The sequence below is a fragment of the Homo sapiens genome, chromosome X (assembly GCF_000001405.40).
Source record: "Homo sapiens chromosome X, GRCh38.p14 Primary Assembly".
In the NCBI taxonomy this organism is placed as follows: domain Eukaryota; kingdom Metazoa; phylum Chordata; class Mammalia; order Primates; family Hominidae; genus Homo; species Homo sapiens.
This window is the reverse complement of record NC_000023.11, coordinates 120,743,752-120,759,889: the sequence shown is the minus strand read 5'-3', so window position 1 is coordinate 120,759,889 and position 16,138 is coordinate 120,743,752. Positions and strand designations below refer to the sequence as shown.

General features: G+C 41.8%; 2 annotated features.

The window, feature by feature from the left end:
* Positions 4,721 to 4,800: an enhancer, noted in NCBI's record as "active region_29906". NCBI's record gives its function as "activates an Ori minimal core promoter by ATAC-STARR-seq in GM12878 lymphoblastoid cells {active_cell/tissue: GM12878}" and the evidence as "EXISTENCE:reporter gene assay evidence [ECO:0000049][PMID:35858748]".
* Positions 10,551 to 10,660: an enhancer, noted in NCBI's record as "active region_29905". NCBI's record gives its function as "activates an Ori minimal core promoter by ATAC-STARR-seq in GM12878 lymphoblastoid cells {active_cell/tissue: GM12878}" and the evidence as "EXISTENCE:reporter gene assay evidence [ECO:0000049][PMID:35858748]".

The following is a 16,138-nucleotide window of genomic DNA, read 5'->3' as shown; positions in this document are numbered from 1 at the left end:
GGAAGTCCTCCTAAGCAGCAGAGACAGCTGAGCTACTGATGCTATGTCTACCTAAGCCCCAAGGGCTCTAGCAGCTTCTGTCTCCCCTAGGCCCCAACCGTCACAACATTAATCTTGAAGCTAGGCTGGGTTCTGACTGAACTTCTAGGCAGACCAGTGTAGAAATGGCTATTGTCACCATCTCTGCCTTACATCCCCCAGGACAGCACTCCTGTCATACTTTCCATAGGCAAAAAGCCCCACAGACTCCAGTAGATTAAACTTGCTCCCTTTTCGTTTGGACTTGGTGTTTGGATTGTTAGCCCTCTCCCCAAGAAGCTAGATTTTACGCCATTTTTTTATTCCCCCTAATCTAGGTTTTAGTTCTAAGCTCTCCAGCACTTGCTCTCAGCATGCCCTTGTGGCTCTGTCAATCCCCTGCTGGGGCTGAATTATAACCCCTTTTCCCCCACCTCACATTTGTTTTTTTACCCCTCACTTTTTTCTATCTCCTCCCCCTTTACTTTTAACCCCACTCTGTAAATTCTTCTGCCTCTTCCCCTTCTGTACCTTCCTTTTCCTTTTCTGAATACCTCCTCCCTATCAAAATTATGGCACATTTAGTGTTTTACATGAACAAGACAGGGCAATCACTCTGTGAATGGGATTCAGTAACTGAAGTGTCTCTTTTTGACCTTGACCATTTTGCACAACCAATTTTCAAAGAAAATGGATTAATCAAAATTGATTTGAACTTACTGCCCCGGTCAGAGTCTCTGAAGCCAATCTTCCCATCACAATAATTTTCCATTTTCACTGAGGCTGTCAGGATGTTAAGATAGTCAAGGGCTCTTTGCTTCCCTCTGGCCACCAAAAAGCAATTTTCGCTAATGCTGGTGAGGATTACATTAAAATTGTGTAAAAGAAAGACATGACCTCTTTTTTGTCAGCTGGTGCTCATAAGGGCTATGAAGATGCTCTCTCTCAATGGCTCTAGTCACCAAGGCTGACCTGAAATGTTGTAAGTTCAGCCAGTTGGGAAGAAAGGAGGGCATTCACTTAGAATCACCATAATTCGTTACCATTGGTTGACTCATTAAACTTCACTGACTCCATTTCTTCCAAACCATTGTTCATGCTTCTTGAAATTCAGTCAAACCACCCATTTCAGATCTTTGGAAGGGGGAAGTCTGGTCCAAACTGATGCAGTTTAAATTGGTGTTCCCAACTGATTCTGATTAACACGGAGGTGGGGGAGCACAGACAGATAGTGATACCTGTGAATTTGAAAAGGCTTCCTAGATAAATTATCTGATGCATCCAAAACATCCAGTCCTCCAGTACTATAAACTGCCTTCTTAATGTAAAGCACAGAGTGTGACTTTAGGTGCCCCCCTCCCGCCAATCATTACCAGGTGGAAGTCTTCAAGAGGCCTGTAGAAGGAAAAATGCTAAGGCGAAGATCCTCTCGTCACATACTCACTTTTAAAACCCCAAAACATCTTACTTGCACATTGTATTCTTAAGTAAAACAACTGGCCTTGGCAACAGAAGCATCAACAGAACTATAATGTGCTGATTCACTACTAGATCTTCTATTGTTATCTTTGACAAGAATGCCTGAAAATAATATTCTATGTGTTTCTAGGAAAAGAGGCTGTCTTGGGCTATTAAGGCTGCTATAACAAAATACCATTAAATGGGTACCTTATGAACAGAAATTTATTTCTCATAGTTCCAGAGGCTGGGAAGTCAAAGATCAAGGTGCCAGCAGATCCAGTGTCTGGTGAGGGCTCATTCTCTGCTTCAAAGATGGCACCTTCTTGCTGTGTCCTCACATGGTGTAAGAGACTAGCTAGCTCTCTGGGGTTTCTTTTATAAGGGCACTTAATCCCTTCATGAATGGGATGAATCTCCTTCCAAAAGCCCTCCTCTTAATATTATCACAATGGAAGTTAGGTTTCAACACATGAATTGTTGCGGGAACACAAATATTCAGAACACAGCAGAGGCCATATGAGCACTTTTTTTCAGTAGAAAAAAAAAGCCCCATGTTTTCAAACAGCTACTTAAGCACCAAGAAAACCTTCCTCAAATTAGATCCCCATTTGCTCAAAGTCTTCTCTGTTTAAAATTGGCAGTGGGCAAACTGACCACTGGTTTTAGTCCTTGATTCTAATAATCTAATTTGCCCAAAGGATTATGTGCAGTGCACAGCTGGGGCTTTTCTATCCATGGGAAATAAATTATCACTCTCATTCCTAAACATTGGCCCTGATACCTGGGCTGGGATTCTCCCTAGGGAAGTCCTGTAATTTCATTGTGCATTAAGTCTGTATGTTCTTCTGTCTTCCTGCATTCATTTATTCACTCAAATATTTATAGAATGCCTACTATTTGCCAGTCTATTGGCTGGGTACTAATTAGAGAATAGCATCAAGCAAGATAGTCAAAATGTCTTCCCTCAAAGAGTTTATAATCTGGTTTTTTTCCTGGGTCACGTTGTTATATTCTTGACTCATACTCCTTTCCTAAGCCTCTTACCTGTACCAGGTGTTTCTACCCTCCTCCTTGGACGAGTTGTAGGCATTAAATCCAGTCCATAGGGGTCTCCTGCCTTAACCCCATCCCCAAGATCCAATGCCAGTCAGAGGATCTTGATAGGAAAGTAAAAAATCCAGACAAGTCAATATCGCTCCTTACTCTAGTCCTTTCTTTTGCCCAGTCATTATCTATCCATCTATACTCAGATTATTGAAACCCACATCACAGGAATCTGATGGACAGGTCTGTGATTGTTCCTTTTTCCTTTGTGTTCCTAGACACTCCCCAGTAAACCACCGGACTTGTATGGTGCTCTGTACATTCAAATTAGAACTATGGTCATATTACCCTCATATACAGTCTCAGACCTGTACATGAAATAAAGATATAGACATAATTCAAAACCTGTATCAATCAGTGTCCCAGCAGGAAATAGATGGCACACTCAAAATGGCTATTTTGGAGAGGGGTAAGGGTCAATATTAATAAATGGACTATTTATAAAGGTGTAGGCAGGGTAACTCAGGGCTAGGAAGAGGATTTGGAGATGCCTTTACCATCATAGCCTGACTAAGAAAAGGGAGACTTTTGATGTCATCCCTACAGGTCAGCTTCCCAGGGTAGAGTGCAGGAGGGAAGACTGGAGTGAGGACCTGAAGAGGCAGACAAAAACTATCTAGCGCAGAACTTCTCATTCAAATTTTGCAGTAATTCAGACCAGGGCTGAGATCAAGGTATTGTGCATTGATCTGGGAAAATCAGCTTTGTTAAGCAAATGAGTAGGCTCATTTTTAAACTATGAAAGAACTCATTTGCATAGAACAGTGAATGACTTTTTTAATGTATTTATTAAAATAGGCCTCACTTTGACACTTTGTTAGCATTAGATTATGTTACTAAATGTGACTGAAAAAAATGAAACGAGACTGCACTTATTTAAAACAGTCTGGATTTCAGATTTACAGCTAATTCCGATTGATTTCCTTGCACCCTGTCCCCCACCAAAAATAAAAACTGGGCATACCAAATTAAGGAGCTTCGATGCTTAAAGTAACATCATAACACTGTTATCAGTTAACTAAACACTGCTCTTCTGCAGTCCATTAGAAGAACCTAGTAACAAGAAAACAGGTTGATATTAAAACTTTTACTTTAAAAAGTAATAACAGTAAATGGACCCCATTCCCAAGGCTGCCATCACATAGCCCAGGCTCCTGACCCTCTCTCTCTGCCTCCATTTCTAACCTAGAACAGTCTTCCAAGATGGCTAGCAGGATAATGCTAAAGCCCTGTCTGAAGTCCAGAAATTAAACACAATAGAGTCCATGATGAGCAAGACACTGATCACTGAGGTTGCGTCTCAGCATCAGACAGACTAGCTTGGGCATTTATCAGCTAAGACACCTCAGGTGAGCGGTTTAATTTCTCCAAGCCTCGGTTTCCTCAACTTTAAAATGGGAATAAAGAAAACATCTACATCATCAGTTGTTACAGGGATTGCATAAGGTTCTGTGTGTAAAACACCTAGCACAGTGCCTGGCACATTACATGCACACAGTAAACACTTTGATTGTCACACTCAGAAACAAGAGCTAATTTAAAGAAAAGAGGGAAAAAAACAAAGGTGAGAAGTGGGTTACCTTTCAATTAACTAAAATGTTACATTGCCCAGACTCCCATTCCCTGAGGGATCCCATTAAATTCACATTTATGGTATTGATTTTTTTCCAGGACAACAACCATTTTACACATTAAACATCTCTACCTCCTGCTATTTTATAGGTGGCTACTATAATAAGATCTCCACTCACATCAATTCAGAAGTCTATCTTTTTCCTCTGTCAAAAGCAGGAAATAAAGCTGGATAAGAGACCTAGGTCACTATGGGGGATGGAAATGTATCTAAGAATCCCCAAAGAATAGGTCAGGAGGGGGATCTGAAGTGGAATAAGAGGCTTAAGAGGAAGAAATTCAAATTGCTATGGCAGGTTTGTTTGGCTCTTGATCCAGAGAAGCCACATCTGCAAATGTTACACACACTGTCACGTGTTAGTTACTTCCCTTTTTCAAAAGGCACAAAGTCCTAGGTCACAAACCACCCCACCCCTCCCCCTAACCCAACAAGGTGAGAGAACAGGAGAGTTCAAGAACACTCAAACAAATAATACTTCCCCAACCCCTGACATAGCCTCCCTTTTTCCATGCTTGCTACTCTATAATTTATCCTCCCCACAACAGCCAGTGTGATCCCTTTTAATTCAGATCACACCACTCCTCTGCTTAAACCCATCCAATGTCTTTTTGTCTCACTCAAATTAAAAGTCCTAATCCTTACAATGGCCTACAAGGCCCTAAGCAACTTGCTAATCTGGTGTCACTAACCCCATGAACTCTCTAACCTCATCTTCTACCTCTCTTCCCCTCACTCACTTCCCTCCAGCCACACTAGACTTCTTTTCCTAGAACACACCAAACGCACTCCTGAATCAAGATCTTTGTTCTGGCTGTGACCTCTGCCAAGAATCTCTTTCTCCAGATTTTTGCATGGCTGACACCAGAAACCTTTTACAGGTTTTCCTCATTGTCCCTTTCTCTGTGAAACTTTCTTTGACCACCCTAATTCAAATTCGATCACACATCACTTCTGGCATTCTCAATCTCCCTTCCTTACTTTCTTTTTCTTCATTGTACTTATCGTCATTTAACATAACACATATCTTATTACCTTATTGTCTGTCTTTCCCATTAAAACATCGTACTCCATGATGGTAGGGATATTTGTCTCTTTTGTTCATGGATGTATTCCCAGGGCGTATAACAATGCCTGGTACATGATAAGCACTCACTATTTGTGGAATAAGTGAATTCACCTAGTTTAAAGTAACGGCCTTACCCTTACGGCATAATGTTTAGAAAAAAAAAATGTGTGTGTGTGTCTTTTTTTAAATAAAGAAGTGGCCTTCAACCCTGACTATACATTAGAATCATCTGGGCAGAGGGCTTTTTAAATCTATTCATACCAGATAATTCAGAATCTCCAAGAGTAGGACCCAGGAATCTTTCTTCGAAGCTATATAGGTAATCCTAAGGTATAGCCAGCGTTAACTCCTGGTTTAAAAAGTCAAATAGCTCTTCTTAATAACAGCCATCTCTGGGATTACCCTTCTTAGCTCAATAATTATTTGTTAAATGAAAGAATCTAGGTGAAATTAGGTTCCAACCATCATCAAGGGGAAAAAACCAAAAGGGACAGCTAGCGGTGTTGTGAGGCAGTATTCAGTGTGCTATGATTAAGAGGTAAGACAGAGAGGCAGTGTCTACAAATAGCAGTGCTTTCCTGGGGCCGACTTAGGTCCAGGAGCTGGCTTTCCATTTTAGAGGTGAAAAACCGTATTTTGCCAGCCCACACAGGTGCGAGGTGGGATCTTCTTGACGACTCCCATTCACCAAACTTACAAGAGATTGATAACACTGCATAATTATGCAACTGCATGACTAACTCATTGGTGCTCTAGCCCTGACACAGAGAAGAACCGTACAGAGACAGTACACTGGATGCAAAGGTTTTAATTTAGGGAGAGGGAGGTGGGAAGTTAGGAGAAGATCATCTGAAAAGGGCACTGCTCAGGTAGGCACTTCTCAGGTGTGCCATCCATGTGGTAAACATCTTTAGCCACTGTATGGAGCCTCTGCTTTGCCTATGTTTTTAACAGGGTTTTAAACAAGTGTTTAGACGTGCCAAACACCTGCTGGTGAAAGGAAAATGCGGGGGCGGCGGGGGGTGGTGTGCTTCAAGTGGAGAAAGATAAATTTGCATTTCCTACTCAAAAGGAGAAACAAAAATAATGCATAATGGGAGAAGAAATTTAATAACTACCATTTCTAATTGGGAACATGTTATCTCATTTAATCCTCCCCACAGCACTGTGAGGGAGGTACTATGGTTATTCCATTCTATAAGGAAGAATCTAAAGCTCAGAGAGGTTAAATAGCTTGCCAAAGATCACAGAGTTGATAAGTAGTAGAAGCAGGGTTGGAACTCTCCAAGTCCCATGCTTTAACTTAGTTGTCCTCAAACTTTCCAGTACATTAGAGTCACCTGGGGGCTTATTTGAATTGCTGACTGCTGGGACCTACTCTCACCGTCCTCCCGCAGCCCCCCGCCCCACCAAATTCTGATTTTGAGGGTGTGAGGAGGGCCCAATAATCTAATGTTACAAGCCCCACGCCTCCCCTGCCCTGGTACTTATGGTGCAAGTGGTTCTTTGTGGGGATTCACAGCTCTTCTCTTTATGTGATGCCGGTGGACAAGAAAGCTGCCTCCTCCCTCTTCACAGCACATCCAAACTCGACTTTAAAAGAAGCTTAAACCATGATTCTCTTGTGTTCTTTGATCATCTTCCACTTCCTGGAATTGCTTGATGAGTTCAAAGGCCCTTCACAGTGAGCTCAGATCAGGACAAAGTGCACACATGTCTCTTAGTGAAGCATCTATCCCAGCTGGCTCACATCCCAAGAGAAGCGAATGAGCTCTTCCCCTACACGAGGCCCCAAAATTAGAGAGCGGTGATGAGCAGCTCTGTTGCAGATCATACCCCTGGATACCTTCAAGAAAAAAAGCATCTGTTTGGCCTTGAATTAAGTTATTTGGTCTCTGATTGTTGCTCTGCACCTCTCCCTGCACAAAACCCCGGAGAAAGGGAAGCAAACATTGGCTCCCAGAGAACTGTGAGTAGTAAACGCAAAAGCCTTCCCAGCTGCAAGCTGGGCCCCACTGCAGCTGTGAGGGGTGGAGGGTAGGGGGGTATCATTTTCTTAGCCTCAGTGAAATCACCTGCATTTGAATTTAATTCTACTTTGGCCCTTCCTCAACTCCCTGTTCTAACCCTAAGCTTCTCAGAAAGCCAGCACACACACCCCCTCACCTTGCCTTCAGCTTCTCCCTCACCCCATTCCCTCTGGCCAGGTTTCTGGAGATAACTGAGTAAGATCCTCCATAGCTTGGTGGCTGTTAGGGTCTTGGTCAAGCATTTCATTAAAGAAATGGCTTAATCAAGGAAGCCCACCATTCCACTCCTTCAGAAAAGACGAAACCATTCAATTCATGTAGCAGAAATAGCATCGAGGATTCAAAACTTCACTCTGTCACTCTGTGTAAAAGTTACCTTAATCTTTCTGAGACATGTGTATAAAATAGTAATAACACCTATTATGTTCAAGTGTGATAAGATTATATTTTTAAAGTGAATATTAAAGTGGCATATAGGGATTCTAATAATAATAGCAACAATAAATAGCTAACATTTCTTGAATATTTATTTCATGCCAAGCACTGTTCTAATCACTACATTTGAATTCATTTGTAAATTACAACCATCTGAAATAAGTACTTGTATTATGCCCATTTTACAGACAAGGAAACAGGTTCAGAGGGGTGGAACAAAGTGCCCGTGGTCACAAAACGAGTTCAAATCAAAGCTGAAATTCAAACCTAGTTCTGTGACTCCAACACCTGCTGCTGATGCTATGGTCATTGCCTTTGTTGTTTACTAAGAGCCTGCTGTGTGAAAGTTATGAGTGCCACAGACAGTAATAACACATGGGCTTATCCACAATAAGTTTGCAGTCTAGACCAGATATGGAGATAAGGCCTCTGCATTAAAGAGAGGCTAATACAAGTGCCCACTGAGTAGCTCAGAAGTTCAGGGAGGAGGCAGGAAGTCCATGGAGAGGTTAGAAATTACATACCCTTGGCTCATTTAATACCTTCTGTCTTCAATAGACTTACCTTCAGTTCCTGGGCCCTTCAATGGACCATGGACTTTAGAGTTATATTGCATGGGTTCTGGTCCCAGCTATAGGTGGGTTAAGTCATCTAGCCCCTGTGAGCTTTATTTTCCTTATCTGTCAAGTGAGGACAATAATAATACTTCCCCCTCCAGTGTTCCCGTGAAGACTACTTGAGCAAACACGTGTAAATGATACAGCACATGTTCAGCACTCAATAACATGGGAGAATTTATGATTATCTTTTTTTTTACTGCTCCTGTGGAAAGTGGGACCCCCATCATATTTTCTGTGTGCGCTCAGATTCAGATTTAGAAGGTAGTAATTCCCACCCCCACTGGCCAAATGGAAGGAAGGAAAAAGGAGAAGAGGGAGGGTGGGTTCTTGGGTGTGCACGGGCAACTCAGCAGGGGCTTGGGATGATAGAGCAGGTGGGAGGGTGGACCGGAGCCCAAGCATGGTTGGGGGATTGATGGATGTATGGGCAGTTTGAAAAAAAGGGAGACAGGCATGAGCAGGGTGGAAGAGAAACTAGTATATATGAAGCCCTTTTTTGTGTCAAGCACTGGGCTGGGTGCTTTCACCCATTCAACAAGTATTTTATTATTTATGCCTAAAATGTGCCAGGCCCTGAATTTGGCACTGATGATCCAGTCATAAGCAGGACAGAGAGATATGAAAGATATCCCTGCATTGCATTCCATTTCATGGAAGACAGACAATGAGAGAGATAAATGAGTGAAATGTTGAGTATATTCAATAGTGGTAAGTGCTGTGAAGTAAAATAAAGCAATAAAGTAGTATTTTCAGAGAATGCTGGAGGTGTGACCTCTATTTTAAGTAGGATGGTCAGGGAATGTGTCACTGAAAAAGTGACATTTGAGCACATAACTCACTTAATAGCTACTATATCAAGTAGATACTGTCATCCCCATTTTCTGCATGAAGTAATTAAGTGGGGTAAGTGGGGTAGGATATTGGGAGACACTCCTCCCTGGATCTCTTATGCTCCTATACTTCTTGTTGGGCATGCCAAGAATGCAAGGCCCTGGCAACTCTTTTCCAGGGACATTTCTCAGGGTTATATTAATAGTGGCAGTGAGAAATTTTCAGGGGTGAGGTAACATGGCCTCTGGGACAAAGAGTGGGAATCCTTACCGCTTGCTACAAAACTCTGGGCTCCCCAAGCTTAGTGTCATTGTCCCACAGCTGTGATGTAAACCGACTGCATATAAAGCATGAATTTGGGTCCCTCTGTGTCATCCCTATGGGACTTGGGGACAAGGGCAAGTGACACAAACTTGCTGATGCTCATGTTGTTTAATGTGTTGTGAGTAATACAGTCTGTCTCTGATCCAGAAGTCTTGTATTTTCTTCCAGCAATCATAAAACAGTAACAAGCTAAATTATTTGATTGTAAGTGGGGTAAAATCAAATCCAAAACCTGACAGAAATACAAGCTACTGAGAATCTGTGATGTGCCACACACCCACTTTTACACATTGCACATATATAGCGAACAAAATAGACAAAAGTCCTCTTTTATAGAGTGCACACTCTATGGGAGTGAACAGACAAGGGTACAAATAAATAAGACGATTAGAGATTGTGATCAGCACTGTGAAGGAAATAAGCAGGGGTAAACGACCGTCAATATCCTCATCTGTAAAATGGGGCCAATATTAATACCTACCTCTCAGGATTGTTGTGAGTGCCCAGCTCATGGAAAGTCTTCAACAAATATGGGCTTTTGTTATTATTTCTTTTTTCCTTCTCCCATGGAAATGAGGAAAGAAAATAGCTTCCTGCTCTACTTTGTAAGGGCTAAGGGTGGGGAGAGAGCTGCAGGAGAAAAGAGGCTATTGCCATCTGAGGAATTTTTTGCTGATCAATATCTAGGAACCAAGAATTTGAAATATTACAAACAAAAAAGAATTGGAATTATAATTATAGCCCTTGGAATTACAGCCCAACTCAATGATTTGGTGCACTCCTTTCACACAAAGGTATGCACTGAAACCACAGCCTCTGCTGAATGATTCTGGCCCCAGGAGCTCCCCTTCTCCTCTTCCCTTCTCCCAGTTGCTGCCCAGGGTCTATCTTGTCCAGGGCCAGCCAGGCAGGGCTGGGCTGTTGAGTTCTGTCAGTGCAGGATGTACAGAACCCTTGCAGACCCCTCTTCCTTCCCCTCCCACTTCTACCACCGAAACGCAGCTGCTTCCTCTCTGCCCCAGTGCTGATCCTGACAGCAGTGTCTCCAGCTAACTTCCCCCTCTTCAACCTCTCCCCAGCACCTGTGTCAACATGAAGCTCACTGACAGACCCCATTCCAGTCTAGATGCAGCAGACAGTAACAAATGGTGGTTGCCGTCATGTGAAGGGCTGGAGTCCTATTTTTCTTTCTGAGCCATCATACGAGAAACTATTTCAAGGACCCATTTTGTACCTTGAACACATCCCTCTCCTTCAATAACTCAGCCAGACATCGCCCTAATAGCTCTGTCTCCCTAAAGAACAAATAGCTAGCCTCCCATTTTTCTAACCCATTTGCTGCTGCAGTCCGTGTATGTTCAAGTGATGGTTGTTGATCAAGGGGCTAATTCACAATAATGATGGGACCTCATGTCTTTGTTGCAGGGTTTTCTCCCATGTATCATATTTTAAAAGCCTTTCTGAGAATTTTGGATTTTGTTTTTGGGTTTTTTAATTCTTTAATATATTTTTTTAAATTTTTATTTCAATAGCTTTTGGGCTGCAAGTGGCTTTTGGTTACATAGATGAATTATGTAGTGGTGAATTCTGAGATTTTAGTCCACCCATCACCCGAGTAGTGTACATTGTACCTAATGTGTAGTTTTTTATCCCTGCCCCCCCTCCCAGCCTCCCCCTTCAGAGTCTCTAAAGTCCATTATATCACTCTGTATGCTTTTGTGTACTCATAGCTTAGCTCCCACTTATAAATGAGAACATGTAGTTTTTGGTTTTCCACTCCTATGTTACTTCACTCAGAATAATGGCCTCCAGCTTCATCCAAGTTGCTGCAAAAGATTGTTTCATTCCTTTTAATGGCTGAGTAACATTTCATGGTGTATATATGTATATACCACATTTTTTTTATCCACTCATTGGTCGATGGACACTTAAGTTGGTTCCACATCTTTGCAATCGTGAACTATGCTGGTATAAACCTATGTGTACAAGTGTCTTTTTCATGTAGTGACTTATTTTCCTTTGGGTAGATATCCAGTAGTAAGATTGCTGGATCGAATGGTAGATCTACTTTTAGCTCTTTAAGGAATCTCCATACCGTTTTCCATAGAGGTTGTACTAATTTATATTCCCACCAGCAGTGTAGAAGCATTCCTTTTTCCCCACATCCATGCCAACATCTATTGGTTTTTGACTTTTTAATAATTGCCATTCTTGCAGGAGTACAGTGGTATCTCATTGTGGTTTTAATTTACATTTCCCTGATGATCAGTGATTTTGAGCCATTTTTGTTTGTTTGGTTTTGGTTTTTGTTTTGTTGTGGGCTTTTTTTTTTTTTTTTTTTTTGAGACAGAGTCTCGTTCTATCACCCAGGTTGGAGTGCAGTGGCTCCATCTCATCTCACAGCAACCTCTGCATCCTGGGTTCCAGCAATTCTCGTGCCTCAGCCTCCTGAGTAGCTGAGACTACAGGCATGCCCGGCTAATTTTTGTATTTTTAGGACAGATGGGGTTTTGCCATGCTGGCCAGGCTGGTCTTGAACTTCTGGCCTCAAGTAATCCACCCGCCTCGGCCTCCCAAAGTGCTAGGATTACAGGTGTAAGCCACCACGCCTGGCCTATTTGTATATCTTCTTTTGAGAAATGCCTACTCATGTCACTTGCCCACCTTTTAATGAGATTTTTTTTCTTGCTGATTTGTTTGAGTTTCTTGTAGGTTCCAGATACTAGTCCTTTTTCAGATATGTAGTTTGCAAAGATTTTCTCCCATTCTGTGGGTTGTCTGTTTACTCTGCTGATTATTTCTTGTGCTGTGCAGAAGCTTTTCAGTTTAATTAGGTTCCAATTATTTATTTTTGTTTTTGTTGCATTTGCTTTTGGGGTCTTGGTCATGAATTCTTTGCCTAGGCCAATGTCTACAAGGGTTTTTTCGATGTTATCTTCTGAAAGTTTTATAGTTTCGCGTATTAGATTTAAGTCTTTAATCAATCTTGGGTTGATTTTTGTATAACATGAGAGATAAAGATTCAGTTTCATTCTTCTACCTGTGGCTTGCAAGTTTTCCCAGCACCATTTATTAAATAGGGTGTCCACTCCCCAGTTTATGTTTTTGTATGCTTTGTCAAAGATCAGTTGGCTGTACGTATTTGAAAAGCCTTTCTGAGACTTTTGAAAGAGATCTTTATTATATGGACATGTACCCCTTTTTCTGTGATGTCTGGAACTGGGGTAGCAGGCAGTGGTCCAGGATTTTTCTCTAAACTGTGTGTACTTTGAGTTTCCCCAGACCTTGCCAGCCTGCAGGTATATAAAAGGTCACACAATCTCTCACTCTTCCAAATTTTGCCAGCTCTTGCCTTTATCTCTTATGCAGAATTTGGCCTCTATCAAAGGACCCCTTAATAATATTAGAGTCCCCAAGGGATGTCTGCTTCCTGCCAGGGGCTGCTCTTGCTGCCCTTCTATTTATCTCTTGGTGCCTGTGCTAAGCAACCCTGCATCCACTGGGCACTGCTATCTGCTGCTACAGCTGAGGCACTGGGGCCCTTGAAATGCCAAAGCTAGGCAATATATTATTCTGCATAGGGGGAAAAGATCTCTCTTCCCTTTGTGATACTTTTTGTTAGAGGCACAGCCAAACCGGCATGCTCATGTGCTGATGTCCTACTAAGGTTTTTTAAAGAGACGACTCTTCTCTTCCACCTCCTTTTTCTCAGAAGATGTTGAAATTATTTCAAAGGCAGCTGGACCAGAAGACATACACATCTGCATTCAGAATTTCCCCTTCCCTCCCAATACTAAGGATTTCTTACTGGATCCAACTTTCTGTGCCTGGTTTGTGTTTCCCTCAGAGTGAAGTACGTAAATCAAACTTCAATCCTGTATATACTCCAGCACACCAACATCACCTGTGTACTTTTTTGTCCTTCTCTCCACAACAGCTAAGTTTAAAAAGATGAGAAAAAGACAGTGCAAAGGTGAGGGCACACAAGTGGCCTTATGTCTAGTTTGCCGCAGTAGTAAAAGTTCTTCAAAGGCTGTATACTTGTGTCAACATCAAAGAACAAAGAAACATGTGTGATGGCAGTTTCTGGTCAGAAGCAAAATGTTTTCTGTCTCCTCACAAGAGAAGTTCAAGCTCAGGCAAGAGGATATTAATTAAAAGATTGCACAGGCTATTTTGAAATTGAAAAGGGGAGGAAGGTTCATTAGATGGCCTTTGTTTTGGTCACTTTGGGCTGCTATAACAAAAATACCATAGATTGGGTGGCTTAAACCGTAGACACTTATTGCTCACACTTCTGGAGACTAGAAAATCCAAGATCGAGGTTCTTGGTGAGGGTTCTTTTCCTGGTTTGCAGATGGCTGCCTTCTTGCTGTGCCCTCACATGGTGGAGGGAGAGATCATCTCTTTGTGTCACTTAAAAGGACACTAATCCCATTTATGAGGGCTCTACTTTCATGGCATAATTACCTCCTAAAAGCCACACTTCCAAATCCCATCTGCAATGCTTTAAATATTGTTTGTCCCCACCAAAACTCATATTAAGGATTGGTTTCCAACGTGGCAGCATTGGGAGGTGGTGCCTTTAAGAGGTGATTAGTTCATTAAGATGGATTAATGTCTTTCTCATGAGACTGGGTTAGTTCTTGGGGAAATGGATTCATTCTTAGCTTGCCTGTTGTGTTTTGCCCTTTTTGCATGTACTGACTTCCCCTTCTATTCTCTGACATGTTTTGATAAAGCCCTCACCAGAAGCCAACCAGATGCAACTGCCCAACCTTGGACCTCCCCGCCATCAGAACTGTGAGCTAAATAAATTTATTTGCTTTATAAATTACCCAGCCTCAGGTATTCTGCTGTAGCCACAGAAAACAGAATAAGACACCATCACATTGGAGATTAGGGCTCCAATGTATGCAAGTGGCGGGGGGGTGTTATATTAGTCAATTCTCACGCTGCTATAAAGGACTACCTGAGACTGGGTAATTTATGAAGAAAAGATATTTAATTGACTCACCGTTCCACAGGCTATAGAGGAAGCATGGCTGGGGAGCCTTCAGGAAACTTACAATTATGGCAGAAGGGTGATGGGGAAGCAGGCACATCTTCACATGGTGGCAGGAGAGAGAGAGAGAGAAAAAGAGAGAGAGAGAGAGAGAGAGAAGGGAGAAGTGCCACACACTTTTAAACTATCCGATCTCATGAGAGCTCACTCACTATCATGATAACAGCAAGGGAGAAATCCGCCCCCATGATCCCATCGCCTCCTACCAGATCCCTCCCCCAACACTGGAAATTATAACTTAACATGATATTTGGGTTGGGACACAGTGCCAAACCATATTGGGAGGGCAGGGAGGAGACACAAACATTTAGTCCAGAGTAGCCTTCAAGGCCTATTATAATCCTGCTGCTTAGAATAGTGCGGTATTTTCCAAAGTGTGGTAGGCAAACCACCAGCGAGATATGAGATGATTATCAGTCATACCCAGATGAACATTTATAATAAGCAGTTATAGGTATATTAGTATAATTTTCTTCCATTTAGGGTACTTGATACTGGATTTCAGTTTATGGCAGTGACATAGATTTTCCTTTTAATGAAAGTTTAAAAGTTGATTCAAAAATATTAAGGAAATAATAGTGTAGACACAATGCAGTACTATTCAGCCAAAACAAAGAATGAGATCCTGTCATTTGCAAAAACATGGATGGAACTGGAGAGTATTATGTCAAGTGAAATAAGACAGGCACAGAAAGACAAACATCACATGTTCTCACTTATTTGTGGGATCTAAAAATCAAAACTATTGAACTCACAGACATAGAGAATAGAATGGTTACCAGAGGATGGGAAGGAGAGTGGGAACCTAAGGGAGGGAGGTGGAGATTGTTAATGGGTACAAAAAAATAGTTAGAAAGAATGAATAAAACCTAGTATTTGATAGCACCACGGGGTGACTATAGTCAATAATAACTTAATTGTACATTTTAAAATAACTTAAAGAGTATAATTGTATTGTTTGTAACACATAGGATAAGTGCCTGAGGGGATGGATATCCCATTCTCCATGATGCGCTTATTTCACATTGCATGCCTGTATCAAAACATCTTATGTCCCCCATAAGTATATATACCTACTATGTCCCTATAAAAATTAAAAATTAAAAAATTTTACAAAATAATAGTGTAGGCAGTACACGATATGGCAAAAATCATGAAGGTGGTATTTGAGAGGCTGGAGGCTGAGAAATGGTGGGGTAATGGTTTAAAGCTTGAGCTTTGAAGTCAGACAGATCTGGTTTCCAGCACTGACTCTACTACTTACTAGCTGAGTGACGTTGAGCAGATATGTATGTGCTTAAATATAGTGCTAGGCACCCAGATTTGACCAAAGCTTCACACTACTGAAAGCCTATGAGGACCCACCTCAAAGGCTACAGTCGTCCCTCCCAAAAGAAAAAGGCAGCCAGTGCAAAGTACCTCAGTGGGAGCTGACCTAGGGCTGGCCTCAGACCCCAGACCTGATTTTAGAGTTGTGTGTGGAAGGTCATTTTATAAAGTCATGCCCAAATGCCAGCTAAAACTCTTCCAGCCCTAACTGTAGATGGTTAA